At 41.6% G+C, this 27,323-nt stretch overlaps 1 protein-coding gene and 1 long non-coding RNA gene across 11 annotated transcripts; both read left to right on the plus strand.

Annotated features, from left to right (window-relative positions):
- Positions 1,492-26,837, plus strand: HAO2 (hydroxyacid oxidase 2). 10 transcript variants are annotated; one of them, NM_001005783.3, is made up of 9 exons: positions 1,492-1,609; positions 13,211-13,430; positions 13,785-13,923; positions 15,622-15,773; positions 17,483-17,760; positions 19,329-19,538; positions 24,817-24,975; positions 25,325-25,394; positions 26,492-26,837. In NM_001005783.3, exons 2-9 carry the CDS (start codon positions 13,400-13,402, stop codon positions 26,545-26,547), a joined length of 1,095 nt encoding a protein of 364 aa, NP_001005783.2. In that variant the 5' UTR covers positions 1,492-1,609; positions 13,211-13,399; the 3' UTR covers positions 26,548-26,837. The 10 variants fall into 10 exon arrangements, with proteins under 10 accessions (NP_001005783.2, XP_047278110.1, XP_024303252.1 ...); XM_047422154.1 differs by having other exon boundaries at positions 17,558-17,760; XM_024447484.2 differs by lacking the exon at positions 25,325-25,394.
- Positions 1,653-3,038, plus strand: HAO2-IT1 (HAO2 intronic transcript 1). Its single transcript, NR_046780.1, has 2 exons — positions 1,653-1,715; positions 2,791-3,038. It is a non-coding gene; the product is annotated as an HAO2 intronic transcript 1 (long non-coding RNA).

A 27,323-nucleotide genomic window follows, 5' to 3' on the forward strand; every position in this document is an offset into this window, starting at 1 on the left:
GCTCTACTGTTCTTTCTATCTACTGCCAGCATCTTTTAAGTATTAACTCACTTACTTCTCATTACAGTGTGGGAGGTATTATGAGGAAACTGAGGCACAGAGAATTTAAGTAACATGTGGATGTTAGTGAGTGAGTGGCTGCAGTTTGGAGCTTGAGCACCATGTTCCAGTGTGTGCTCATCACCAGGCTTCCTTCTGGAAGGGAGAGACAGAGTCGGAGTCTGGAAAACAGCAAGGGAGGGTCTGGATCAGGGGACTGTGAGCAGGCCAGGTGTTGTGAGAGCTGACCGAGGACATGGCCTAGAGGCTGATTATGGAGATTGTGAAAATTGCTATGGAAAAGAAATTTCCAGAACCCAGATTTTGGCTACTTTTGAAAGCATTTTTGAGGTAATACTGTCCTCTAGTGGCTAGATAGCAGGTAGGGATTACCCTCCAAATAAATAGCCAATGAGCCTTGAGTGGAGATGGTATGACAAGTCAGTGGTAAATTCATCATTTTGCTCTCTAACTACAGGTTCTAAAGGAAAGGCAAACCCCACTGCTATGGTCATCGGTACAGCTCAGGATTTCGGCCTCCTCTGCTCCGTGTGTTGGCTACAGGCTAGGTTCAAATCCCAATTCTGCTCTTTACTGCTGAAAGGCTTTGGGCATGTTCGTTAATCTCATTTTCTCTTCTGAAAAAGAGACAATCTTGAAAAGATTGACCTTCCGTGAAGATCAAATGAAGTAATGCGTGTAGTGTGTCTGGCACGTCGTAAGCGCATCACACACGTGAGCTGTGGCAATACTAAGGAGCAGTGGCAAGAGCTGGGGGAGGAGTGGAGACGAACAGACCTGGACAAATTAGTGACCTTTCTGGGACCCCTACAGAACTCTTCTGGAGAAATTAATTCTATTTTTCCATGTACTTTTAAGTTTGCTTTTCCTAGCATTTCTTCTACATTCCTGAATAATTTTCCACTCAAAAATTTCACTGGTTCTCCCTGACTCCCATATTAATCTAGACATAATTACTTCCCCAGAACAGTTCTGTGGGCAGGGAGGGCTCTACACTATGCACCCTCCAAAATCCCCAAAGCTCGGACCGTCCTGGCCTGGGTCCCCACTGCTGTCCTGCCCATGGGCTCCCAGGCTGTGCTTGCTCTTCTCCCACCCCAACCCCATCACCACAAAAAGCCCCTCCTCCAACCCGGGGACTTTTGTAATTTCCTACCTGAAATCATCCACTCCCTACCTCTAACAATCTGTGATGAGCAGAGGACAACATCAAGTTTGAATTTAGAGGTAGGGAATGGGTGATTTCAGGTAGGAAATTACAACTTCACTTTGAAGTTTAATTTTGTAATAAACTTCACTTAATTTTGAAGTAAATTTGCAAAGTCAGCAAAATTCTTTCAAAGTCAACCTTGCTCTGGCCTAGTTGCTTATTTACTGCTAAGCTGGATGTTTTCATTAAAAGATTAACTTTGAGACTTCAGCCTCTTCTTTAGCCTGAACTGTGGGTAGTGATGTGGTGTGTTTCCTAACACCTCCGGCAGTGAGCCAGGCTTTGAGTGGCTGCGTCTAAACACTTCTTTCCCTGAGGACTGGAAGACATTAGAATAAGGTTTGTCATTGAGTGTGTTCTGTGTGCTTGGAACTGAGAAGGGTGATGAAGTGCCAGATAGGATGGGAATGGAAGATATCGTGGAAGCCAACTATGAGTTTGCAAGGCAAGGACCTTGGCAAAGATGGTCCTAGGGAGACAGGTGTTAGGGAACTCAGAGGGCATGGGCAAAGGAAGATTTGGTTTCAAAAAGGATACAGACAGAGAAGGTTAAGTCTAGGAAGTTGAGTCTTAGAATTGTATGGTGGAATATTCGTGGGTGTCCATAGGAGGAAAAATGGGTTAAAATGTTTTCACTTGACAGCGTTCTGAAAACCTAAAAGGTATTGCTATTGCCTTCAGGGATATATTTAGTATTCTGACCACTGCTTCCCGGCCACAAGCAAAAGAAAACAGTGACATGGCTATGCTCCTAAAAAAGTAAAGAAGTTAATGTGTCTCAAACAATGTAGTTCCTTTGAGCAATAAGCTTATTTGGAACAAATGGGTTACAAAGTCCCACTAATGAAGAGCCTCTGATTGTGTTAAGTTGAATCTACAGATCAACCTGCGGAGAACTGCCAAGAACGCTAATGAAGACAGGGAGGTACTGGTATAAAGATAGATAACAGATCAATGGAACAGAATAAAGCGTCCATTAGCAGGAAGCAAAATCCGCAAACTTTTATTCTTAACTACTACTATATTCTGCATTTTACAAGATCCTTCAATTCTCACAAGATCCCTATGAGATAGACAGTAATAACCTAATTTAAAGATAGATGAGAATTGGAGCTTGTCTAGAATAGATTGAGTGGAACATCACTTGTGGTATATCATTTGAGAGGTAATGGGAATATTGCCAAATTCCCAGGTAACTCTCCCCTCAAAGGGACTCCTGTTGTACTCTAAATCGTATCAGCTATCAAATGATGAGCTATGAAAGTCTGTCTTCTTCGACTGTAAGCTTCTTGAGAGCAGAAACTGATGTGATAAAGGTCCCCCCCCATATCTCTAGTGTTTAGCATAATACTTTGATATATTATGTTAAATCAGGCTATGTTATAGTAAAGAATAAACCTTAACAACTTAGTGAGATAACACATAAATATTTATTTCTTCCTTACACAATATCAGCTGATCTCCAGGGCTACCCTTTTCCAAATGGCGTTTTGGGAATCCAAGTGGCCTTTCTCTTACAGCTTTGCCTTCTTGAGGATGGAGGATCGCTGTAGAGGAGGAAACAAAGCTGGAGGGTCACATACCAGCTCTTCAATCCTTGGCCTAGAATTCACACCTGCTATTCCCACTCCCAGGCCATTGGCCAGAAGAACTAGTCACAGAGCCATGCCTGTATTTAAGCAACAGCGAAATGTTAAGCATGTGGGGAGCAGTATATGCCTCCGCCACCCTGGCTGAGAGTGTGTGTCAATAAACCTTCTTGGATAAACTAATGAGTAAATCTGACAGAGGGTTTAAATTATACTATGACAGAAATACTCAAATCCTGAAGCAGCTTTCCACTTCCAGAGCCTCAGATGAAATCACACATGTCATCAACAGGAGGAATAATGAACATGGAGCTGCCTTTATTAACAATCTAGTCTATACAAGGCACTGTTCTAGAAATTTCAAAGGGGCCATACTGCTTAGTCCTCATGGCAGCCCTATGGGATGGATGTTAATATTCTCCTTTAACAAATAAATTTTGCACAGAACCGTGGTGAGCCAGTAGTAGAGCTGAGATTTCAGCCTATGTTTGCCAAGTGCCAAAGCTTATAATATAGTCTGTCTTCTCTACTCCACTGACTCCCTCAGTCATTAGTTCCTTGGGCACAGTTGATCGGTGGAAAGCAATGGCCTTCAGAAACACAGTCTGGGTAGTTGCCGTAGACAGAGAAGCCAGGAGGAAGGCAAAGAGAGAAAAAACTGCACTCCATAGCTGGGCTCTTCCATCCCCAACTGCTCTGCCTTTTCTCCTCTCTCTCCTGCTACAACCCAGTGATTGCCACTGTGAGATATAGGTACACCTGCAAGACCTGAAGTCACTAGTGGACAGAGTAGACGTCAGAGCCTGTTTTGGAGCTTTGTGTGAATTCTGATGTCTGTTTTGCACATTCTATCCTTGTTGAGCAGATGAAGAGGCAGGTGCAGTGATCTCACAGTGTCACATAGAACTCCTTTCCCAATGGCCTGGATTTTGTGGGAATTGACCAAGCTCATTTTATGCAACTCTCTGACCATTCAGAACAGAGACTTAAATGTCTCCCCCATACCAGTAACACTCCATACTGGCTCAAAGACATTGGAAACAAGTCAGAAGGATTCCAGGTCAGGCTTTGCCATTTCTGTTGCATTAGCTTGGATACTCACGTGAATTATCCGAGCTTTAATGTTTTTATCTATAACATGGGGCTCATACATACACTCTCTGATTGCCCACTGGATTGTTGTAAGCACCAAATGGAATAACGTATAGAAGAGTGCTCTGTAGACTGTTAAGACAGATTTAAACATAAGAAGTTATTTTTTAGTGATTGGCTGAATAATTAAGATTTTTTTTAACTTTCTGATTGAGTTATGATTTTTTGAGGGAAGAAAGCAAAGTTGCATATGTCCATGACATTTTAATCCTCTAAGGTCCGTGCCAACTCTGTCATTCCATAAACCACACTTGGCTGTGCCCATTTTCTTCTTTCTATAGTGCTTAAGAGCCAGGCCACTGGAATCGTGACACATTACTAGATATGTAATATTGAACAAAGTATTTTAACCTCTTGAACTTCAGGTTTCTCACCCGTGAAATGGGGATGATAATATTTGTGTTGAACATTTCCACAAGGATTAAAACAGTCATGCATGTAAAGCAATTTACACAGTGCATGGTACATCATGGAGTACTTGAAAAATGGTTGCAATATTATTGTCGTTATTATTATTCATATTAAGGAACCATCATGCTGCCTCCAGGGCTCTTTGCATAATCAAATTATTCCACTGTTTGAAAGAATAAGAAAGTCCTTATCTTTCAAAACACTATATAAACATTTGGATCAATGTCTCCCAGTATGCCCTAAACTATGTTCAACGCTCTATGGACAGCACACAGTTTACAATATGGCTGGGTTCCAAAACTCTACTTGGAGGGCATTTGTTTGAAACTCAGAACAGATTTTCCCACAAAAGAATGCTATTAAAATAGCGGTTGGATTCCCAGGTGACTGAAAATACCCACTTGATACACAAAATAGCAGAAGATCTGGCATATTTGCAATGCAAATTACTGTAAAGCAATGTTATTGTATTGCTGGTCATTAACCAAAACTGAAAACTAAGAAAACTGTGTAATAAATCATTTTTAAAAATTTCTTGTATATGCAACTGATGAAGAAAAGTAGGCTTAATTAGAGGAAGAGATAATTCAGTGGAAATGTAAGTAAGAAATGTTAAGATGCCTTTGAGGGTATTTTCAAAGGTTTTTGAAGTTCTTTGCTAGGTCTAATGCGACTTCAAAATTGTTTCACTTTGTTCTTCTTGACATAAGGGACTACATAGCACAATTATTTTTGGTTTGCAAATGAAAAAGGAAATGAGATGGGAGAGATTAGGAAAAGAGAAGAAGGCGTGAGAAAGATTTCCCTGAGAAAGGCACTCAATAGTTTGGAGAAATCGAGAAAGGAGGAAGAGGCACATCTGTGTAGTAAAACGGATTTCAATTACCTGGTCTGAGAACAGGAAAAACAGCTGGTGTGACAGGCCGTACCTCTTGTAAAAGGGAATAGTGACAAGACTGGTCAAGTAGTTATCCACTGAAACCATAAGGTGGTGCCACGGGACCAGAAAAGTTCTTGAAAAGAAAGACCTCCAGGCTGGGGAGGAGGAGCAAAGGCAGGCTTGAGCACCCAGCTGTTTGTTGTTGGCAAATATGTCTAAATATTGTGCTGGTTCCCTGTTCTATACTTTATTGCCATGAAGTAAATGCTGAACTAGAATGTTCATATGACCTCATCTAAACAGCTCCCTGTGTTTATGGGCAAAGAAAGCACAGAATATGAGTACTTGAAGGACCTCAGCTCAGCTTTTAATTTCAGGTGGCTTCAAATCTATCATGGATTAAGCTGAAATACACAAAAATGTATATTTTCTCAAATGAGGAAACTGAGACTTGGAGCGAAGACATGTAGCCTGCCACTGTTCAAATAAGTGTTAGTAGCTATCTCTCTTGAAGCAGCCTGCCTCTCAGGCTGCCACACACACCACTCCACTGACTGGATGAAGCAAAAGTTTATTCCGTATTCCAACTTCAAGTGGAGCTCCTTTTACTGGCATGGCTAAGCAGGGTCAGAAGGAGTAGAGGTGAAGGTGGAATGATAAAATCTAGTGTAGATGAGTTGAGTCTCTAGAAATCTTGGGTCTGTGCTGAGAAGCTAATTCTCATGTAAGGAGAAGCTAATTCTAAGTTATATTGCCAGGCTATCCAGAAGCAATTTCAAGAGTCATATCGTATTTCAGAAAGAACCCTAAATGCAGAGACAGAAGACCTGAGTTCATTTATTAGCTGTGCTGCCAAACTTGTGCACATCTCTCTGTCTCTCTAGGGTCCTTCTTGGCTCCATCAAGCAAGTTATTCTCATAGTCTTCCAATCCTCAATAGGCAGGATGTGTGGGAGGCAGGACAATGGTAGGTAATTGCCTAATTAGGTCACAATAACTTCAGAGTGAGCATGTCCTTAACATAAACATGCCCCACCACGGCAAATCTCAAAAACTCTTTCAATCCGTGACACACAAAGCTCCTAGAGTAAAGCAAAGATATGAGTCACTCCCTATCATGACTAAAGAAGCCACTCTGAAGAACTCAAGCATCATACTCCTCATGGTAGAACATGCTTACAGGTTGAGAAGGGAATTTTCATTAGTAGAAACAAAAAAAGGCTAATGAGAGTGGTTGAGGAGTGGCAGCCTAAAAAGGAGAGATTATTATATAAATCAGAATAAAACAAACAAAAAAAGGGCCATTATGGTTCAGAAGGCTCCTGCATCCTTGATTCACAATGTGTGAGAGCTCAGGGAAGAAGCCAGAGCTGATTCTGGGCTGACAGGCACCAGGAATTAATCCTTGCCAGATCTGAACTGGACTGGCTTCTTTTCCCCTCACTCCCATACAAATGCCATCCTTGATTCCTCAGATCACTGCAATGTTAGAAACACTCAGTTCCCTTTTTACTCTGAGGGCTGACCTGCTGTTCCTGGGCATCCAAATTCTTCCCCCTGCCCTCTCTTCCCCATGCTGGGGGCTCATCTGCCTCAGTCACAGGAGCATTTTCCAGTGCCATTGATTCATGTCTTCCCTGAACCCAACACTGCCATCTGCACATGGCTCTCCTAGTCTCCATCAGCTCTGGGACCCTTCTCCTCTCCCATCACCTCTTTCATTCTCAGGGTCTCCTCTAGCTTCAGCCTCTCCCCTGACAGTGCTGTTGTTGACAATGCCATGGTGATGGCTATACCCTTTGTATCCACTATCCTTGAGGGGAAGACTGATTACAGCATTTTCAGCCAACTTTGAACAGTCTAATCTCTCAAACTAGGCCCGTAAAATGTAGCCTTGATATTATCTGACATTCCATTGGGAAACTTGGCATAAGTTCCTAAAGAACTAGGCCAGAGGTTCTGGAAGGACACCATCCTATAGCACCAAGCAAGTGTACCTTAAAGTGAGTCATCAGAGGCTGACTTTTCTCCCCCGTTGTATCTCCACAGCCTACCCTGCAATTTTCACGCTGAGATTTCCCACAGACTGTGTAGGGGGTTTCCATACAAATATAAGCTGTGATAACCCTGAGTTCCTAAAGCAACACCAACATGAATCATATGAATCATACAAAATCTTCAAAGGAAGACAACTTTTTATCTGTCTGGTGTTAAATCAGATTGCAATATTAAAGAAAACCACGTCTTCCTTGAAAAGCCTGCCAGCTTCTCTACTTCCTTCCTCCTTCCCTCAGTCAGGAGAGTTTGAACTTCAGATTGTTAGCAACAGGTACTCCTGAATGTCCTTGCCCTCAGATTTCCTCCTCTTTGTCACTGGTCTGCTAATTTTACCTCACTGTTTTATCAGACAAAAAGCCTAAAGAGGTTCAAGGAGCTAAAATGAGCTAAAATTTCTAGAACAATAGCTGGCAATTGGTCAATTTGCTATTTTATTCTTTTCTCCTCTGTCTCTTCTTCTTGGGCAGTAGGAATAAAAAAGGAAAAAAGAAAAAACATTGAAATGGAGACAAAATAAAATGGGAATACAAGAAGACAAAATAAAGTGGGAATACAAGAAAACCATTAGATTACTTGAATCTTCCCTTTAATTTCTGGTGGCTTCAAGGCTGGTAGGGATCAAATTGAAAGAAAGTATATACAAATATATTGTGCTAAGTTCTTCACTTCCAAATTTAGGAAAAGCTTTGAACAAGGAAGGTATCCTTTTCTTTAATTATAAACCTTATATTAAACCTCTAACCAAAATAATAGACTACTAAGATTTACATATATTATATTAAAAATATATAATTGTATTTTTCAACCTACAAAATTATCTCGAGTTCAATATGGCAAGTCATTTATGAGAACCAACTATTGTGTTCTTTACCTGAAATTGAAAATGAGAATGTCTATCTTTAGAAGCTACCAGGACACATGAGTTCAGAACCATCTCTCATAATAACTTACTACCTGATTGTATTAGTCCATTTTCATAGTGCTATGAAGAAATACCTGAGACTGGGTAACTTATAAAGAAAAAAAGGTTTAATGGACTCCCAGTTCCACATAGCTGAAGGGGCCTCACAATTATGGCAGAAGGCAAAGGAGGAGCAAAGGCAAGTCTTACATGGTGGCAGGCAAGAGAGTGTGTGCAGGGGAACTGCCCTTTATAAGACCATCGGATCTCATGAGACTTTTTCACTATCATGAGAACAGCATGGTGAAACCCGCTCCCCCATGATTCAATTACCTCCCACCAGGACCCTCCTATGACATGTGGGGATTATGGGAGCTAAAATTCAAGATGAGGTTTGGTTGGGGACACAGCCAAACCATATCACTCCACTCCTGGCCCCTCACAAATCTCATGTCCTCACATTTCAAAACCAATCATGCCTTCCCAACAGTTCCTCAAAGTCATAACTAATTTCAGCATTAACTCAAAAATTCACAGTCCAAAGTCTCATCTGAGACAAGGCAAGTCCCTTCTACCTATGAGCCTGTAAAATCAAAAGCAAGTTAGTTACTTCCTAGATACAATGGGGATACAGGCATTGGGTAAATACCGCCATTCCAAATGGGAGAAATTAGACAAATCAAAGGTGCTACGGCCCCATGCAAGTCTAAAATCCAGCAGAGCAGTCAAATCTTAAAGCTCCAAAATGATCTTTTTGACTCCATATCTCACATCCAGGTCACACTGATGCAAGAGGTGGGTTCCCATGGTCTTGGGCAGCTCTGCCTCTGTGGCTTTTCAGGGTACAGCCTCTCTTCTGGCTGCTTCCACAGGCTAATGTTGAGTGTCTGTGGCTTTTCCACGTGCACAGTGCAAGCTGTCAGTGGATCTACCATTCTGGAGTCTGGAGGATGATGGCCCTCTTCTCACAGCTCCACTAGGCAGTGCCCCAGTGGGGACTCTGTGTGAAGGCTCCAACCCTACATTTTCCTGCTGCACTGTCCTAGCAGAGGTTCTCCATTAGGGCTCTGCCCCTTTAAGCAGATTTCTGCCTGGACATCCAAGTGTTTCTATACATCCTCTGAAATCTAGGCAGAACTTCCCAAATCTCAGTTCTTATCTTCTGCACATCCACATGCCCAACACCATGTGGAAGCTGCCAAGCTTTGAGGCTTGCACCCTCTGAAGCTACAATCTGAGCTGTACTTTGGCCCCTTTTAGCCATGGCTGGAACACAGGGCAACCAGTCCTGAGACTGCACAAAGCAGCAAGGCCCTGGTGCCCTGCATCTTAGGCCTACAGTCCTATGATGGGAGGGTCTGCAGAGAAGATGTCTGATATGCCCTGGAATCATTTTCCCCATTGTCTTGGCAATTAACATTTGGCTCCTCGTTACATATGCAAATTTCTGCAGCCAGCTTGAATTTCTCCTCAGAAAATTGGTTTTTCTTTTCTATCATCACATCATCAGGCTGCAAATTTTCCAGACTTTTATTATGCTCTGCTCCCCTTTTAAAAATAAGTTTCAATTTTAAACCATATATTTTTGAATACATAAAACTGAATGCTGTTAACAGCCCCCAAGTCACCTCTTGAATGCTTTGCTGCTTAGAAATTTCTTCTGCCAGATACTCTAAATCATCTTTCTCAAGTTCAAAGTTCCACAGATCTCTAAGGGAGGGGCAAAATACTGCCAGTCTCCTTACTAAAACATAGCAAGAGTCACCTTCATTCTAGTTGCCAACAAGTTCCTCATCTCCATCTGAGACCACCTCAGCCTGGACTTCATTGTCCATATTACTATCAAAATTTTAGTCAAAGCCATTCAAGATGTCTCTAGGAAGTTCCAAACTTTCCCACATCTTCCTGTCTTCTTCTAAGCCCTCCAAACTGTTCCAACCTCTGCCTATTATTCAGTTCCAAAGTCACTTCCACATTTTCGGGTATCTTTATAGCAGCGTCCCACTACCAGGTACCAATTTACTGTATTAGTCCATTTTCATACTGTAAAAGAAATACTTCAGACTAGATAATTTATAAAGAAAAACAGGCTTAATGGACTTCCAGTTCCACATGGTTGGGGAGGCCTCACAATCATGGTGAAAGGTGAAGGAGGAGCAAAGGCATGTTTTAAATGGCAGCAGGTAAGAGAGCACATGCAGGGAACTGCCCTTTATAAAACCATCAGCTCGGCCAGGCATGGTGGCTCATGGCTGTAATCCCAGCACTTTGGGAGGCCAAGGTGGGTGGATCACCTGAGGTCAGGAGTTTGAGACCAGCCTGGCCAACATGGTGAAACCCCGTTTCTACTAAAAATACAAAAATGAGCTGGGTGTGGTGGCACATGCCTGTAATTCCAGCTACTCAGGAGGCTGAGGCAGAAGAATTGCTTGAACTGGGGAGACAGAAGTTACAGTGAGCTGAGATCATGCTAAGCTTTACATACATTATAAAAAGAAAAAAATGCATAATTGTATTTTTAAACCTAGAAAATTCTCTTAAATATAGCAAGCAATTTATGAGAACCAACTATTTTGTTCTTTACGTTAAATTGAAAATAGAGAATGTCTATCTTTAGAAGCTACCAGAACACATGAGTCCAGAACCAACTGCACTCCAGCCTGGGCGACAGAGTGAGACTCCATCTCAAAATAAATAAATAAATAAACCCATCAGATCTCATGAGACTCATTCACTCTCACAAGAACAGCACTGGAAAATCCAGCCCCATGATTCAATTACCTCCCACCAGGCCCCTCCCATGACATGTGGGGATTATAGGAGCTATAATTCAAGAAGATATTTGGGTGGGGAAACAGCCAAACCATATCACTGATCTTTCACAAGTTATTTTATTTCTGAGGCCTCAGTCTCTTTAAATGCAAAGTAGGAAGACTAATACCTTCTCTGTCTTCTTCACAGGGACACTGAGAAAAAGCTGTAGATAGAAAAGAGTCTAAGGAAAAATTAGAAGAGGTATCGAAATGAGATAAAATAGTGTTTGTTATATATAAGATGCTAGGGTTGATTCTTTATGTCCAAGCAGCTTTCAAATCACATAACTGACACTATTCTAGACACATGACTCTGAGTGAGCATGAGCCATTTCTTCTGGATTAGACATAATGTTTGTGGCATTTATATGCTAGAATTGTGTAGAACAGCCTTTCTATGAGTGTGTAATGTATAGGATATGTGTATTTATTGAGATATCAGGAGTTGAAACCTGGTGGAGAATTCTCATCCAATAATGAAGATAAATGACAGGCAGGGGAATGTTAAATTCAAGTAATGAACATTTGTAAGCAGCAACTCAGTGCCATGTACTATCCTAATGCCTGGGAATACAAAGTGTGTTGGGGGTCCCAGGTTTGGTTCTTCATTAGGAGGAACAAATAGTCGAGGCTATGCTTTATTACTGAAAGGATGCAAAGCAAACTTAGCAAAGGGAAAAATGGCTCTGGCAGCAAAATCTGGAGGAAACCAGGGGTAAGCTTCCATGAGTCCTCTGCCAGTGGACTCATGCGGGATGCAGTTAATTCCCCCAGCAACAAGATGTGATGACACATGTAAAATGTTACCTACCTGAGCAGGTCAGTAGAGATTCAATGCCCAGAGTTTCATGTTGGAGGCTGGTCATATGGTCACCCTCTGCCTAGCCCATACCAAAATTCTAGAGTCCCAGAGGAGAAGCAAATGTTCATCATAAACCACATTGTTTATACAAACAGTTTATACACAGGGAGGCACTCTTATCAGGGAACACTGGGAACCCTGTTGAAATCCAAGTTCCCAGACACCAACCAAGGTCCAATATTGCAAGCAGATCTCTGGAAGAATAAAATTCCCAGGCATCATATATTAGTTCTTTTATGCTTTTATGCACACAGAGTTGTAAATAAGCAACTGTGATATAATTGGTACTTGCAATGATTAATTCATTTGACTAAGGTTTATTAACCCTTTGAAGGGTGGAGTAAGAATGAGCTAAATTAGATATGGTTGTAGTAATTTGTCAGACTCAACTCCATACCTCAATGTTCTCTCCTCACTCACTGGCAGACTACTTTTTCTATAAAAGGTGCTATGGCTGGGCTCCAAATTACTCCTCGTAGCCTCCATCTAGAGCCCAATGCACTTCCTGGGGGCTCTGTTTCCTGTCTGTCATATAATTTCTTCCTGCTTGGCCCTTAAGTACGTGCTAAGGCTACTTCTCTGTTTGACTTCAACAGAATCTGGCTTGACAGATCCTGGCTTGACTTGAGGTATCCTCAAGCAAGTTCTGCCCCATCCCTGCTCCAGCCAAGATTCCCAGCACCTCACATCTCATCTGGCCTCTGTGTCCCCTTTGTCCATTAGAGGAACTAACCCATTCCTGGTTGAAGCCCTAGTTACTGCGGCCTATCTTCTTCCTTTAGATAATGACTTAAAAGCCATTCAGTTTCCACCCAAAACCTTTGGTTAATTTTCACATGGCTGCCAACTGCCTGGGAGTTGGCTGGAGCTTAGAAACTTCAGGTTTCTCTGTTTTTCCTTCTGGAATCCTCTCATGCAGGAGCTCTACATGCTGTAACTGAAAGCAACTAGTGTCTTCAGCGTCTCTGCTGCTGTTTCTACTGCCCTGTTTCTACTGGAGAGATTTATTCATTACCCCCAAGCCCTGTCCTCTTTCCTCTTTCAGGGTGTTGTATCAAAAGTACCAAGCTCTGCGTTTATAGGGCTCAAATTGAAGATGGGAATAAATGGAGCCAACATACATTGTTTCTCAGGTACCCAAATTAGCAAAAATAGGAAAAAGGTAGATGGTGACCCTTGAGCCTCCTAATAATATTAAGCAACATGTTCAGCGACCCAGCCAAGAATTACAAAGTAAACTTTGTCTTGTCCTTTCCCCACTCTGTAATCCACAGCTCCAGACAATTCAAACATTGAGATTCCTGGGAACTACCAGATAGTAGCATCAGTTCACCAAGAAATGAAGCTGGTGAGGCAGTGAAAATCCAGGGCCTAGAAAGCTGGGAATGCCATGACGTGGGCACATTGAAAGACAAGAGGCAGGCATGATCAGCCTTGAACTTTAGGAAGATCCCAGGAAGCTGATGGAAGACAAGATGTGGAGTGAATGTGAAGGCAAGATACAAAAATAAGAATTTTTTGTAATAAGCTTTTAAGAAGTGGTGGGGCCTCAACTAGGTCTAAGGTGGTGTGTGTACAGTGGAGGAGAAGATATAAGAAATACTCAGAAGGCCAAATAATCAGGATTTGGGAATGGGAATGGGAATGGGAGAATGGAAGGGTGGACGATTACTCTCTGACTTCTGGCTTAGGGATCACTGGCTTTAGCAATAACTCTGTTAAGATAAGAATACAGGGAGACCAATGTTGAATCCAAACAATTTCATACTGCAGCTTCCCCTTCATTTCCTTTTCTGCATCTGAAGTGTTCTCACTGGGTTTGGTTTGGTTTTGTTTTCTCCTTGGAAGGTCCAGAAATGTCCTTGGTGTGTTTGACAGACTTTCAGGCCCATGCGCGAGAGCAGCTGTCTAAGTCAACTCGGGATTTTATTGAAGGTGGAGCAGATGACAGCATCACGCGGGATGACAACATTGCAGCATTTAAAAGGTGTGGTCTTCTGTAGCCTGTCTATTGTTAGGTTAAGGTGCACTGGTGGAGAGCAACTTGGACAGTAGTAGTCCTGGTTTCTGCCTCCAAAAAACACAGATCACTCAAGACCTAATAATGTGGATGATTTTGTTGTTGTTTTGGTTTGTTAGGGCAGGGGAGGGAGGGCTGATGGGAAGATGGAAAAAGAGGGAATTTCTGTTATAGCCAGCATAAGTGAGTCATTCTCCTTCATCTCAGCAACTTTGCAACCTGACAAGATAGAACAAGAGTCCCAGAATGACCAGTTCCCTAGGCAGGGAGGATGGGCCTGCTGGGAGGCCTAGATCTCCTGAGTTCCTAAACTCTGGCTTGGAGAAGAAAATGGAAGACAGGAGAGAACACTCAGGTTTGGAGAAAATATGGAGATCCAAGGAGTCTCAAAGATAATAAGAGATTGAGTCAGGGGAGAAGAGTTGGTCTGAAAAAGTAGGAGATGGAGCATCGGTCAACCAACAGCAGTCCACAGGCAGAGGCTGACCCGCCACTTATTTTTGTATGGTCCATGAGCTAACGATGGTTTTTCATTTTTGAATGGCTGAGGGTGGGGAGTCAAAAGAAGAATAATTTGTAATACATAAAAATTATATGAAGTTCAAATTTTGGTGTCCATAAATAAAGTTTTATTTTAACACAACCATGCTCAGCCATTTACTATTGTTTATGGCTGCTTTTGCACTTCAAGAGCAGTGTTGAATAACTGTGACAAAGATTACATGGCCCACAAAGCCTCAAATATTTACTCTCTGGCCCTTTATAGAAAAAGCTTGCTGATTCCTGTGATACAGAGGTCAGGAGAAAACTGAAAAATGGTATAAAAGGGAGCCCTATATTCTGTATTTTCATACTTAGTTAGCACTATACGAGGCACCTTACATCATTTATTTCAGTCTGTCTTCACAAAACTATTAGGAAATTTGGATTATTATTCCTATTTCAGATGAAGTGACTGAGGCTACCTTACTCAAATTTGCACAATTAAGAATTTTCAGAAAATTTTTCTAAGTTTATGTGCAAAAATAATAATATTGTATAAACAATGAAAATCTTAGACACCTGAGGCTAAGTATGCATTTATTTAAAAAGTGTGTTTTGCATATTTATTATTTGTAAATTCTCCTACCTTCTTCTAAAGCAGTGTTTAAGTCAAATCTTCAAACTAACTAGCCTCTATCACAAAAGCCTCAATCACTCCCTGGGATTTGTTCTCATTCAGTGACCTTTTCTTACTTTCTGGAGACTTGGGCCTAACCTGAGAGGAAAAGAGACTGGAACCTCTTCCTACCTATTCTTTTCTTTTTAGTCCTTGTTATGATGAACCAAACCATCCAAGTGCTGCAGTGTAGTCTGGGAGGCATGACTCAAAGACACAGACTTCTGACAGAGCAAAGCAGGAATAGTGTGGACTTGGTATGCACAAAGTGGTTCAGAGAAGGTTGGGAAATGGGGAATGAGGTGTTGGAAGCGGCTTTCTGGAGATAAGTCTCCTCCTGGATCAACATAGGTTACTCAGCTCTCAGCCAACTGAACCCACCAAGGTTCCACAGGACCCTGTCTGGTTTAGACTTGTATCAGGAATCAGGGGGGTCCACCCCAGACAACGCCTCCCTGCTGCAGAATCATCTCACCAACAGAAGATCTCTTTGTTGTCCGGCACAGAATTCGCCTCCGTCCGCGGTACCTGAGAGATGTGTCTGAGGTGGACACCAGAACCACAATCCAAGGGGAGGAGATCAGTGCCCCTATTTGTATCGCACCCACAGGGTTCCACTGCCTTGTCTGGCCTGATGGGGAAATGAGCACAGCAAGAGGTATGAACCATCCCCACCTCGAGGCTCCTTTCCGGGAGGAGGTGTCCCTCAGAGCAGTGGCAGAGGCTCCAAGATTCTCTCTAGAAGGGCCTTAGGAACATAATCTGGTTAACACTAAGGAAGGCAGGAAAGGGAATGCTTAAAGCTACGTTTGTGTAACCTAAGATTGAGAAAACATTCATTTTCCATAATAAAGAATAGTTAGAGTGCAAGGGGGTTTACAGATGAATAAGAAGGTGCTAAAATTTAACCAAGTCATCCCTCAGAACAGGGGTGCTGGCCCTTCTGGCTCACACCATCTGTAGGGAAAGGGATGCTTAACGCAGCCCCAAGGCTAGGGCCCTCTTTGGCCCCTGATGGGCCAGGGCTAGGGCTGAATGGCAGACTCTGAATTTAGGATGAGGAGAGAATCACGACATTAGGTCCTAACACAAGGCCCTGGAAGCTGCTGTTGCCCAACTATTCCATTTTCCTTCTCTTCAATTGACCTTGTCATCTTGTTTGACAAAGATTTTATTGTTGGGTTACATCTCCTTCCCAGTCAACCTAATTCTCATCCCACATTCTCCACCACCACCACCACCACCACCACCGCCAATAATAATAATAATAATAATAAATAGAAAAGGAGAGATGGGGCTGAAAATGCTCTTGGGACTCTTTCGTAATCTTCACTCTAAGTCACATCTGTTTTTGTGAATTTCTCAGCGCTTCCCTGAGGTCTTTTCCTTTGACTCCATGATGAAGGAAGCTATGGATTCAAGGATTCTAGAGCTGAATGTGACATCCATCTTGATGGGGTCTAGGGACCAGGTCTAGCTAGGTTGAGATATTAATATCCTATATGAATGTGACTAGTTTACTAAGTCATCATGGTTGAATGTGTTGTTTGGGGGTAGGATGAAAGAATGGGGTATCTCCTGTTGACATGAAAAATTGAAAATGTTAATTTTTGATTAGCCCAAATTCTCTGCCCATGAGTTATAGTGGGACAGTGACATTAACCTGTTGGAGATTTCATTGAAATGAATAAAGTAGGAAATGGGAAATCTGCCAGTCAGCAGCAGCCATATGAACGTCATCACCATCAACTTCATTAGCACTGGTATCTATGCAGTACACCACTTTGCAATGTAAAGAATGCTGCCATAGCTAGTATCTTATTCAGTCTCCCAACAATCCTAAAGACATGTATTATTATTTTCCCTATTTTACAGATAAAGAAAATGAGAGACTCAATGCCACACAGCAAAGAAGGGGTAGAACTAGCATTCTTCTAATTTCATATGCTATGCTTTTTCCACCATGAAGTTCAGGATTCTCCACTGGAACTACATTCCCTCATCCTCTGCCCTCTCTAATTCTCTTCTGCTTCATTAAGGAGTTCATAAGAGGCCCAGTTGCCTGTCTGAAGGCTATAACACAACCAACATGATTCTGGAGATTGCATGGCATCTTTAGCTGGAAATATTTTGTTATCGAGTAGAGGGTTTGTAAGACAGGTTATACAGAGGAGAACCCAAAAAGGTTTAGGTCTCTCAGCCTGATCAAATTGCCTTCCATCCCTTTCTTACAAGGAAGCAGAATGAAATTAAGCTTTATCTGCATTCATGGGGCAAGATGGCCAGAGGCTACACAGACTCCCAAGGTTTTCAGCCCAGTCCAGAGGCCTCTGCCCTCCAGCCTGAGTCATGTCCTTTGCTTTACAGCTGCCCAAGCGGCTGGTATCTGCTACATCACCAGCACATTTGCCAGCTGTAGCCTTGAAGACATTGTCATTGCAGCTCCCGAAGGCCTCCGATGGTTCCAACTCTATGTGCATCCAGACCTGCAGCTGAACAAACAGTTGATCCAGAGGGTAGAATCCCTAGGTTTCAAAGCTTTGGTAATAACTTTGGATACACCTGTATGTGGCAACAGGCGACATGACATTCGAAACCAGTTGAGGAGGAACTTAACACTAACAGATCTTCAATCACCTAAAAAGGTAAGAAAGATACCAAATTCGATGGACAGGCATTACAAGAGGCAAATTTCCTTCCCTCTTTTCTCCTTTCCTCCATTCTTTCTTTCCACAGGCATTTATCGAACACCTGCTCTGTGCCAGACACTGCGGATAAAGCAGTTTCAAAAAGCAGATATGGTTCCTGCTCCCTAGAGTTTCCAGACAAGCACAATCAACATAAGACCAAATGTTCTCACCCTTGGAGCTGCCCAACTTGTCACCAGAAGTGTTCTGGCCAGAGCTGGATGCTGAGAAATAGGAAAGCCACGGAAAATATTTTTGCACGAACTGGAGAGTAAACTAAAAAAGTTCATGTAACATTTTCTACTTTATGACACACTCAGAAAATGCTAATTTTGGATGGCATACATAGACAAACTGACTCTCCAAAGGGGATGTTCATGACCAAAGTGACTGGCCAGACAGTCTAGACAGGCCAGGTTCTACCTTACTGCCTTGAAACTGAGGAATCAATATCTCTGCACACATAGAGCTCATTTGTGGAGCACCAGGATGCTATAGCACATTTGTTTGTAATCTCTGAACTAGGTGACTACAAAGGGGACCTTCCCCATTAAAATCCTACAATTAAATGGCAAGAAGTGCCTCAGAGAGAGACAGCCATGATAAAGTGGGAATCCCTGGCTATAGTAGAGATACTAAAGCCAGCCTTTTCAACCAGTGGGCAACTGTGACACCAAGCCAAGTAACTCAACAGTTCTCATTAATCACAGATTGGCCTTGAGGTGCTCCAAAATCCTTATTCAAATTCCAGAAGCACATTGAGATTTATAAATGTTTGATGTACATGGTGAGCCAAGAGTAAATATTGGGTAATAACTGATTTAGTATTGCTTAGTTCTTATCCTGGGTATGCCTCAACCGTAACATATCACATTGACCAATAAATGCTTTTGCTTATCCATCTTATATACTAAACTCTGAATTTTTTAAAGTAGAAACTTTGTCTTATTTGTCTTTGTGTCCCCAGATCCTAGCACAATTACTGACAACAACATGATTCATGGTCAATGATAAGCAATTGAAGTAGAAATTCTTTTATACAAAGTTTGTTAGACAAAGGAGCTAGAAACGTTGTTGGGTTTTGTTGCTCCTGTTTCTTTTTGTTTTCTTTGTTGTTTGTTTGTTTGTTTGTTTTTGAGACAAGGTCTCACTCTGTCAGCCAGGCTAGTATGTGGTGGCGCCATCACTACTCACTGCAGTCTAGACCTCCTGAGCCCAAGCGATCCTCCCACTTCAGCCTCCCGAGTAGCTGGGACTACAGGCATGCACCACGATTTATTTTTTTAGAGGAGCAGCAGCAGGGTCTCTGTGTGTTGCCCATGCTTGTCTCAAACTACTAGGCTCAAAAGATCCTTCCGCCTCAGCCCCACAAAGTGCTGGGATTACAGGCATGAGCCACCATGCCCAGCCCTGTTCTTCCTCCTTCCAGTTTATAAATGGCAGCTCTCTAAATGTGTCTCATCTTTGGAATGCATCAAGTAGCCTTGTGAGAGCTCAGGACTAAGTTCCCTTTTTATTTCCTATAGGGAAATGCAATACCTTATTTCCAGATGACTCCTATCAGCACTTCTCTCTGCTGGAATGATCTCTCCTGGTTTCAGAGCATAACTCGATTGCCCATCATCCTGAAAGGGATTTTGACAAAAGAGGATGCAGAGTTAGCTGTGAAGCACAATGTCCAGGGTATCATTGTTTCCAACCATGGTGGGAGGCAGCTTGATGAGGTTCTTGCTTCAGTAAGTAGGATTACTTCAGAGAAGGGTGTGTTTGTGAGTGCTGTGTGTGTATGTGTGAGTGTGTCCACATCAAGGGACTCTGTGAAATCTGAGCATATTTCACTCCTCTGTACCACATGTGTTGGTATGTATCTGTGAATTTTAAGGACTGTTAATTATTATTAGTAGCCTACTGTGTGCTAAGCTGTTTTTTCAACCTTTACATATAGCATCTCTAAGTCTCATGCCAATGCTGCAAGATGGGTGTTATTATCCCTGATTTGCAAATGGGGATACTGTAGTTTAGTGATGTTAAATAACTTATCTTTAGTTCACTTAAGATAATAAATAATTAATGTTGAATTTGATTAGACAGATGTTCTAAAGTAAACACGTTTCATGGCAAAACTCTAAAAACACCCTGATGTGTCTTTTGCTAAAATCTATAAAAGTCCATAATTTTTTCCCTTAACTCATAAATTTATGTTCATTATAAATGAAGTTTGAGGGCAAGAAAGTGAGAGAAAGTAAGGCAGGGAAAGAATCTTTACATGGGAATTTGTTGTTGATTTGTTTTCATTGAGTTATATTTTTTCAAATGTTCTATTGCTGCTTGACTTGTTTTAAGAAAGAGAAATGAGGTTTTTTCCTCTTCAGTTTCATTGACACTTATATAAATAAAACATGTTCACTGCAGATAAATTAGAAAACATACATAAGCAAAAGATAAAAATTAACACTAATTTTATCACTATCACTAACGTCAACATTTTGGTCACTGTTAACATCTTCTTAATGCAAATACAATTTTTGGTGTTTAAGAAAAGTATAAATAATATTGTGTTTTTTTCTTTTACTTAGCATTATATTAAGAGCAACTTTTTGTTTCAGTATATATGCTCCTCTTATTTTTAATGGTATGTAGTATGAACAGACAACTATATAACCAACCTCCATTGTAGAACATCTGTATTGCCTCTAATCTTTCCCTATTTTAAACAACACATCAGTGACTGAATCCATAGCACAATCTCAAGTACTTCTTTAAGATAAATTCCAGGAATTAGAAATTTGCACTAGCTGGTTGGTACATTCCAAGACACGTGATGCTTGGAAGCCTAAGAGCCAGCCACTCACCTCCTCCTCTGCACCAGCTCTAACTGCTAAAGGCAGTGGAATGCAAGCCCACGTGGAGAGCAGGGGTCACCCTTCACTGTGTCTCTCTGGTAAGAGCTGAACCGAAGTGGTTGGGTCTCCTGCTTTTCATCTCACCTATTGACCTGCAAACTTAGGAGAAAGTGGTTGGGCTGAGCACACACTGAGCTCTCTCACCCAACCCCTGCCAGGATGCCTACAAGCCATCCAGTATTTAGCAAAACAGAGAAAGCAAAAGAGCATAGCATGCCCTGGGTCATCCCAACTATGCCTAAATAGGAGCAGAAGGCAATGAAGAGCCCATTACCAACAAGCAGCAAACAGTAGAATATAGGCTTTTGAAAGAAAGCTAATAAAATACATCATACAATAGGTGTCAGGCTCTCATTAATCAACTTAGCTGGTCTTGTTCTTTTGGAATAACTGAGTAATGAGTAGACAAAGAGGAAGACTAATTCTCCCATTGTGCTTCCCCACTAGAGAATGAGTATTGGCTAAGGTAGGGGCCAGGGAGAGGAGAATTTCTCCTATCTTATTGTGCTAATCAACTTGATATTCTCCCAAGCCATTTGGCTTCACATCCAAACTCAAGTTCACTTGGAGACAGCACAAATATCAGTGTGAGTCTCGTGAGGGTTTTGCTTCAGGTGAAACCTGACCCTGTGCTTGTATAACCCTGCCTCACTTGCCTCACCTTAATCCTAGCCCCAGGTCTATTTATTTATAAAAACAAACTTCCAGCTCACAGGTCAGAGTTTGCCATTTGTTTTTTTAAAACATTGTGTTCAAACATCATTTATCTGAGTTTTTTTAAAAAAATTATTTCCACAGGTTATTAAGGAACAGGTGGTGTCTGCTACATGAGTAAGTTCTTTAGTGGTGATTTGTGAGATTTTGGTGCAACCATCACCTGAGCAGTATACACTGCACCCTATTTGTAGTCTTTTATTCCCACCCCCTTCACACCCTTTCTCCCTTAGTCCCCAAAGTACATGGTGTCACTCTTATGCCTTTGCATCCTCATAGCTTAGCTCCCACTTATGAGTGAGAATATATGATGTTTGGTTTTCCATTCCTGAATTACTTCACTTAGAATAACACTCTCCAATCTCATCCAGGTTGCTGCGAATGCCATTAATTCATTCCTTCTTATGGCTGAGTAGTATTTCATCATATATATATATATATATATATATATATATACACCACAGTTTCTTTATCCACTCATTGATTGATGGGCATTTGGGTGGGTTCCACATTTTTGCAATTGTTAATTCTGCTGCTATAAACATGCGTGCAAGTATCATTTTCATATAATGACTTCTTTTCCCCTGGGTAGATACCTGGTAGTGGGATTGCTGGATCAAATGGTAGTTCTACTTTTAGTTCTATAAGGAATCTCCACACTGTTTTCCATAATAGTTGTACTAGCTCACATTCCCACCAGCAGTGTAGAAGTGTTCCCTGTTCACTGCATCCACATGAACATCTATTATTTTTTGATTATGGCCATTCTTGTAGCAGTAAGGAAGTATTGCATTGTAATTTTGATTTGCATTTCCCTAATCATTAGTGATGTTGAGCACTTTTTCATATGTTTGTTGGCTATTTGTATATTTTATTTTGAGAATTATCTATTCGTGTCCTTAGCTCACTTTTTGATGAGATTTTTTTTTTTTTTTCTTGTTAATTTGTTTGAGTTCCTCGTAGATTCTGGTTGTTAGTCTTTTGTCAGATGTATAGATTTTGAAGGTTTTCTTCTACTCTGTGGGTTGTCTGTTTACTCTGCAGACTGTTCCTCTGCCATACAAAAGCTCCTTAGTTTAATTAAGTGCCAGCTATTTATCTTTGTTTTTACTGTATTTGCTTTTGGGTTCGTGGTCATAAAATCCTTGCCTAAGCCAATATCTGGAAGGGTTTTTCCTATGTTATATTCTAGAATTTTTATAGTTTCAGGTCTTAGAATTAAGTCCTTGATCCATCTTGAGTTGATTTTTATATAAAGTGAGAGATGATGATCCAGTTTCATTGTCCTACATGTGGCTAGCCAATTATCCCAGCAGCATTGTTAAATATAGTATCCTTTCCCTACTTTATGTTTTTGTTTGCTTCACCAAAGATCAGTTGGCTGTAAGTATTTGGATTTATTTCTGGGTTCTCTATTCTGTTCCATTGGTCCATGTGCCTATTTTTATACCAGTTCCATGCTGTTTTGGTGACTATTAGTAACGAGAGAGAATTCATGTCCAAATAAAAGACATTTTTATAGTCCCAGCATGGTATTATTTGGATTTATTTTTTTTTATTTGTAGTTTCACTCTTGTCACCCACGCTGGAGGGCAATGGCGCAGTCTCAGCTCACTACAACCTCCACCTCCCAGGTTCAAGCAATTCTCCTGCCTTAGCCTCCCAAGTAGCTGGGATTACAGGCACTGGCCACCACGCCTGGTTATTTGCATTTTTAGTAGAGATGGGATTTCACCATGTTGGCCAGGCTGGTCTCGAACTCCTCACCTCAGGTGGTTCACCCGCCTCAGCCTCCCAAAGTGCTGGAATTATAGGCATGAGCCACTGTGCCCAGCTGGAATATTTTTATGATGTTGTGAAAGAGAAATACATTTGTACAAACTCTTCTAGTGAGCCATACTATGCAGTGGAGTTGATAATAATTGTGAAATAAAATAGGGAGTGAATTTTACCTTAGGGTGAGGCTTTAGAGTTAATTTTTAATAGGACAGAACAGGACATTCATTAGAGTCTTCTGGGGACAACAGCTGACTTATCCTTTCCCCTGGTCCTAGGAGGAAGTACAAGAACAATGTTAGATATGAAACCTCATAGAGGTGGGAACTTTTCTCAAAATCCTTACCTTTTATAGCACTGGCAACAACCTGCAGGGAGTGGGACACTGACCTCAGGCACAGACTCTAGGGGAGTGCCAAAAACTCAGATACTATAGTTTGAAATCAGGTGATTTCAAAGTTCCTCATAGAAGTTCCCACCTCTTTCACAACATTATAAAAATACTCCAAATAATACCATGCTGGGACTATAAAAAATGCCTCTTATTAGAATGTGAATTCTCTCTAGTTATTACATGTAAGTTCAAAACATATTCAATTCCCCGCCCCCACCTATAAGTTAAAGTAGAAAATTATTTCCTCACTATTTTCTTATACTGTTCAGTCTCAGCCAAAGTATCCCATTCAGGTAGAATGCTAATGGATTCCTTTGGCAGCAGAAGGCCTCATAGGGCCCAGTTTTGACTCTTCTTCTCAGGCCATCCCTCAGAGAAGCACAGACAAAAACCCTGAGGGTGTTCCAGAACTCCCTCCCCAAGGATCTTCCGCCTTGATCCATAAGGGGCCTGTTTGTCACTCCTCTTTACAGACTTGTAGGTGCCTAGAAGCATAGATCGGCCTGGGGCACCTTGTGTGCTCAAGGCCTATTTGCCTGTTCCCTGGAATTGAAGAGGCAACATAAGAGACAAAGTTCCTTAGGAAAATCAGGCCAAGATGATAAGATGTTTTTATTTTGTCTGTCAAAGGCTCAAACTTTAGTTTTACCGTGTTGTACTTTAGTCCTATCTCATTTTCTCAGATACGCCATGAGGAAGTCAGGGACAAGTTGGTCAAGTGGTGCATGAGAAATAATGTTCAACCCAGTTTCCCAAGTCAGGATGCAATCCAGACATGCAGGCCATGGTCAAGTGTACTTGTCTTGCCAAAAAGACTTAGTGCCTTTGCAGTGGAGAGCCTTTCTAGTTGTGCCACCCTAGAAACAGAGAGAGTAGAAGAAAATCAAAAGTCAAAATGTTTGAAAAGAAGAAAGTTGAAGTAAACATTATAAGTGGAAAATGTCCCTTTTAGGATGGAAAGAATAACCAAGCAGTTCTTCCAACTTGTAAGACAGTTAAGTGAGTCAGAGAGAAGCTAGACTGGAGTCAAAGCAGAAAGTCAAGGCAGGAGGGCCTCAGGAATGTGACTGCCGCTGCAGTTGATCAGCGCTAGCAGCCTCAAGCATGGGAGGGGAAGAAATTGTCAAGGGCGTCTCCTCAGCTTGGTTTTCCTGGTCATATGCCAGGAAGACCAAGTCTGAGAGTCAAAATAGAAAGCCCTCCAGCCCATGTGTATCTCCTTTTCAGATTGATGCTTTGACAGAAGTGGTGGCTGCTGTAAAGGGGAAAATTGAAGTCTACCTGGATGGCGGGGTCCGAACTGGCAATGATGTGCTGAAGGCTCTGGCCCTTGGAGCTAAGTGCATTTTTCTTGGGAGACCAATCCTATGGGGCCTTGCCTGCAAGGTGAGAGTGGCAAAGCAAACCAGCAAGAAGATACAGAGCTTCTCATTCATTTCTGTGCTTTCCTGTGGTTCATTTTCCAAGCTTAGACATTTTCAAAATGATTCCTAAAGGATAGTTACACCTAAGCTGCATCTCCATGCTTCTTCTGAAGCCCATTGCAAATGTTCAATAGCTTTCATCCCCTATCTTTGTCTCTGTGCTTTCCTTTATTCCCAAGGTAATTCTCACTTCACAGATAATCCCCATCTTTCCCATTATAGCTCTGACTACATCTAGAATTTATACTAGTGGATGGTCAGAATGTTCCTTTATGTCTCTTTGTGTCTCTGTCTGTCTGCCTCGGGAGCAGGGTGAACATGGTGTTAAGGAAGTTTTGAACATTTTAACAAATGAGTTCCACACTTCCATGGCCCTTACAGGTAAGTTAACATGTTTTCCCTGATTTGGAACTTAAAGCAGGATGGCTAAAGAATAGGAGCAGCAGTCCTTCCCTCTAGCAGACCCTTTCCTGATGTGGTAGCTGTCCAAAAGATAGGACAGGCAGGCAACTTTCAAGACAAAGATTAAGCACTATTCTCTGCACAGTGGAAACCAGAGCTGTCCTCAAGATCATTGACAGCTCTGGGGAGTGTCACCTCTGGCTCTGAATTCTTGCTTCTGTTGAATTCGTTCAATTTACGGACTATTGACATATCCCATGCCTGCTGTTTCTGTCCACTCCAGTCAACCCAGGCATGAAACTCAACTCTTTTCTATGCTTCCACTTTTAGGAAAAGACCCTCTCATTAGTATATTTTTGTGAATAATACATTTTGCCAAAGTTATGGTGCACACATCATAAATATGGAAAGAACTCCCAGTTAAACGTTACGCAGCCTGTTATTGCATTCTTTCAGCCTTCTCATCACCAGGGACTTCTCATTGCCTACTCAAGCCCACAACTCCCCAGCCCCATAACATCATGCCAGCTTCTCTTTCTCCCTTCTTTTACTTATCTGGAGTTACTCTCTTCAATCCTTATGTCCAATCTGAGCTACAGTCATAATTTTACATATTAATTAATATCTTCTTCTAAAGAAGAGTCTTTTCCTTTGACAGAACTTTCCTTTAGAAGGCAATTGTCATGTGGAATACTCACCCCATCTCTTTTGCTATCTGTGTGTCATATTCCTCCCGAAAAGATACTTCCTATATCCCTGAGCCTTATCAGAACCAAGATAAAGATCAAAGACATCTATTGCACACAAGAGTTGATTTAGAAAATGCTAAAATAGGGTTTTTACATGTTTACCCTGACATTTTGACATGGCCATGTTCAGAGATGACCTGGGCTCAGGTTCACAGAATAATACCCAATGCAAACAGAATTACGTTATTCATTCTGTATGTAAACCATTTTATAAGAGTGAGCACAAAGATCAAGTCAGACTTGCTCCCCTTCATCACCCCTTACCCATGATGAGGTGAGTTGCTTGTGTTTGACAAAAATGAGCTTGTAACCACATTGTTCTTTTAGGCTGCCGGTCGGTCGCTGAGATCAATCGAAACTTGGTCCAGTTTTCCAGGCTGTAAGAAAAAAGGGCCAATAACCAGACTGCTGAGGTTGCCCACAGGAGGATCACAAACTCACAGCACAGTGTGTGATGCTGTCCTTCCTGGACCCCATTCTGTCCGGAGGCTCATGGCCCATATTTCCCACATTTCTAATACCACCACCCCTGTGCTTCAGGCCCTCCAAACCCCTGTGTTCCCCAAATGTTCCATGCCCTTCTTTGTATCACTGACTATTATATGTTGCTCTCTTGCCTAAATCTTCCTCTGAAGTAAAAGATCTCAAAAGGACAGATCATTAATGACTGGAACCACTAGTGGGTGATATTTTTTGCATACTCTATACAACTCTATGAAATGACTATCTAACTTTGCACTCTGGACTGAGGAGCTGTATATACAAGGCATTTTTCCAATAAAAACATAATCCTATCTGTAGAAAATAGGGAAATAGTTAAGGACATGGACTTTGGAGCCACACAGACATGGGTTTGACAGTCAGGACTACTGCTGGCAAGCTACGTGACTTGGGCAAGTTTTCTGATCTCTCTGTGTTTCTGAGTCCTGGTGTATAAAATGGGGATTATACTCCCTCAGCCAGTAGGTTGGGAAAAAGTTAGAGTAAGATGATGTATTTGAAGTTCAGAACACAATGCTTAGCACCTAGTAGGAGTTTAAGAAATAGTAGTGTTTCATACTTAATGAGTATATATACATATGTACTCATATATATATATATATATATATACTCATATATATACACACTCATATATATATACTCATATGTATATACTCAT

The sequence above is a fragment of the Homo sapiens genome, chromosome 1 (assembly GCF_000001405.40).
Source record: "Homo sapiens chromosome 1, GRCh38.p14 Primary Assembly".
NCBI lineage: Eukaryota > Metazoa > Chordata > Mammalia > Primates > Hominidae > Homo > Homo sapiens.

Coding starts and splice junctions, on each gene's coding strand:
- HAO2 (XM_024447484.2), top strand. CDS start 13,400: ATGGAAGACAAGATGTGGAGTGAATGTGAAG. Junction 13,431..13,784: donor GATGTGGAGTGAATGTGAAG/GCAAGATACAAA, acceptor TCTCCTTGGAAG/GTCCAGAAATGTCCTTGGTG. Junction 13,924..15,621: donor AACATTGCAGCATTTAAAAG/GTGTGGTCTTCT, acceptor TGTCCGGCACAG/AATTCGCCTCCGTCCGCGGT.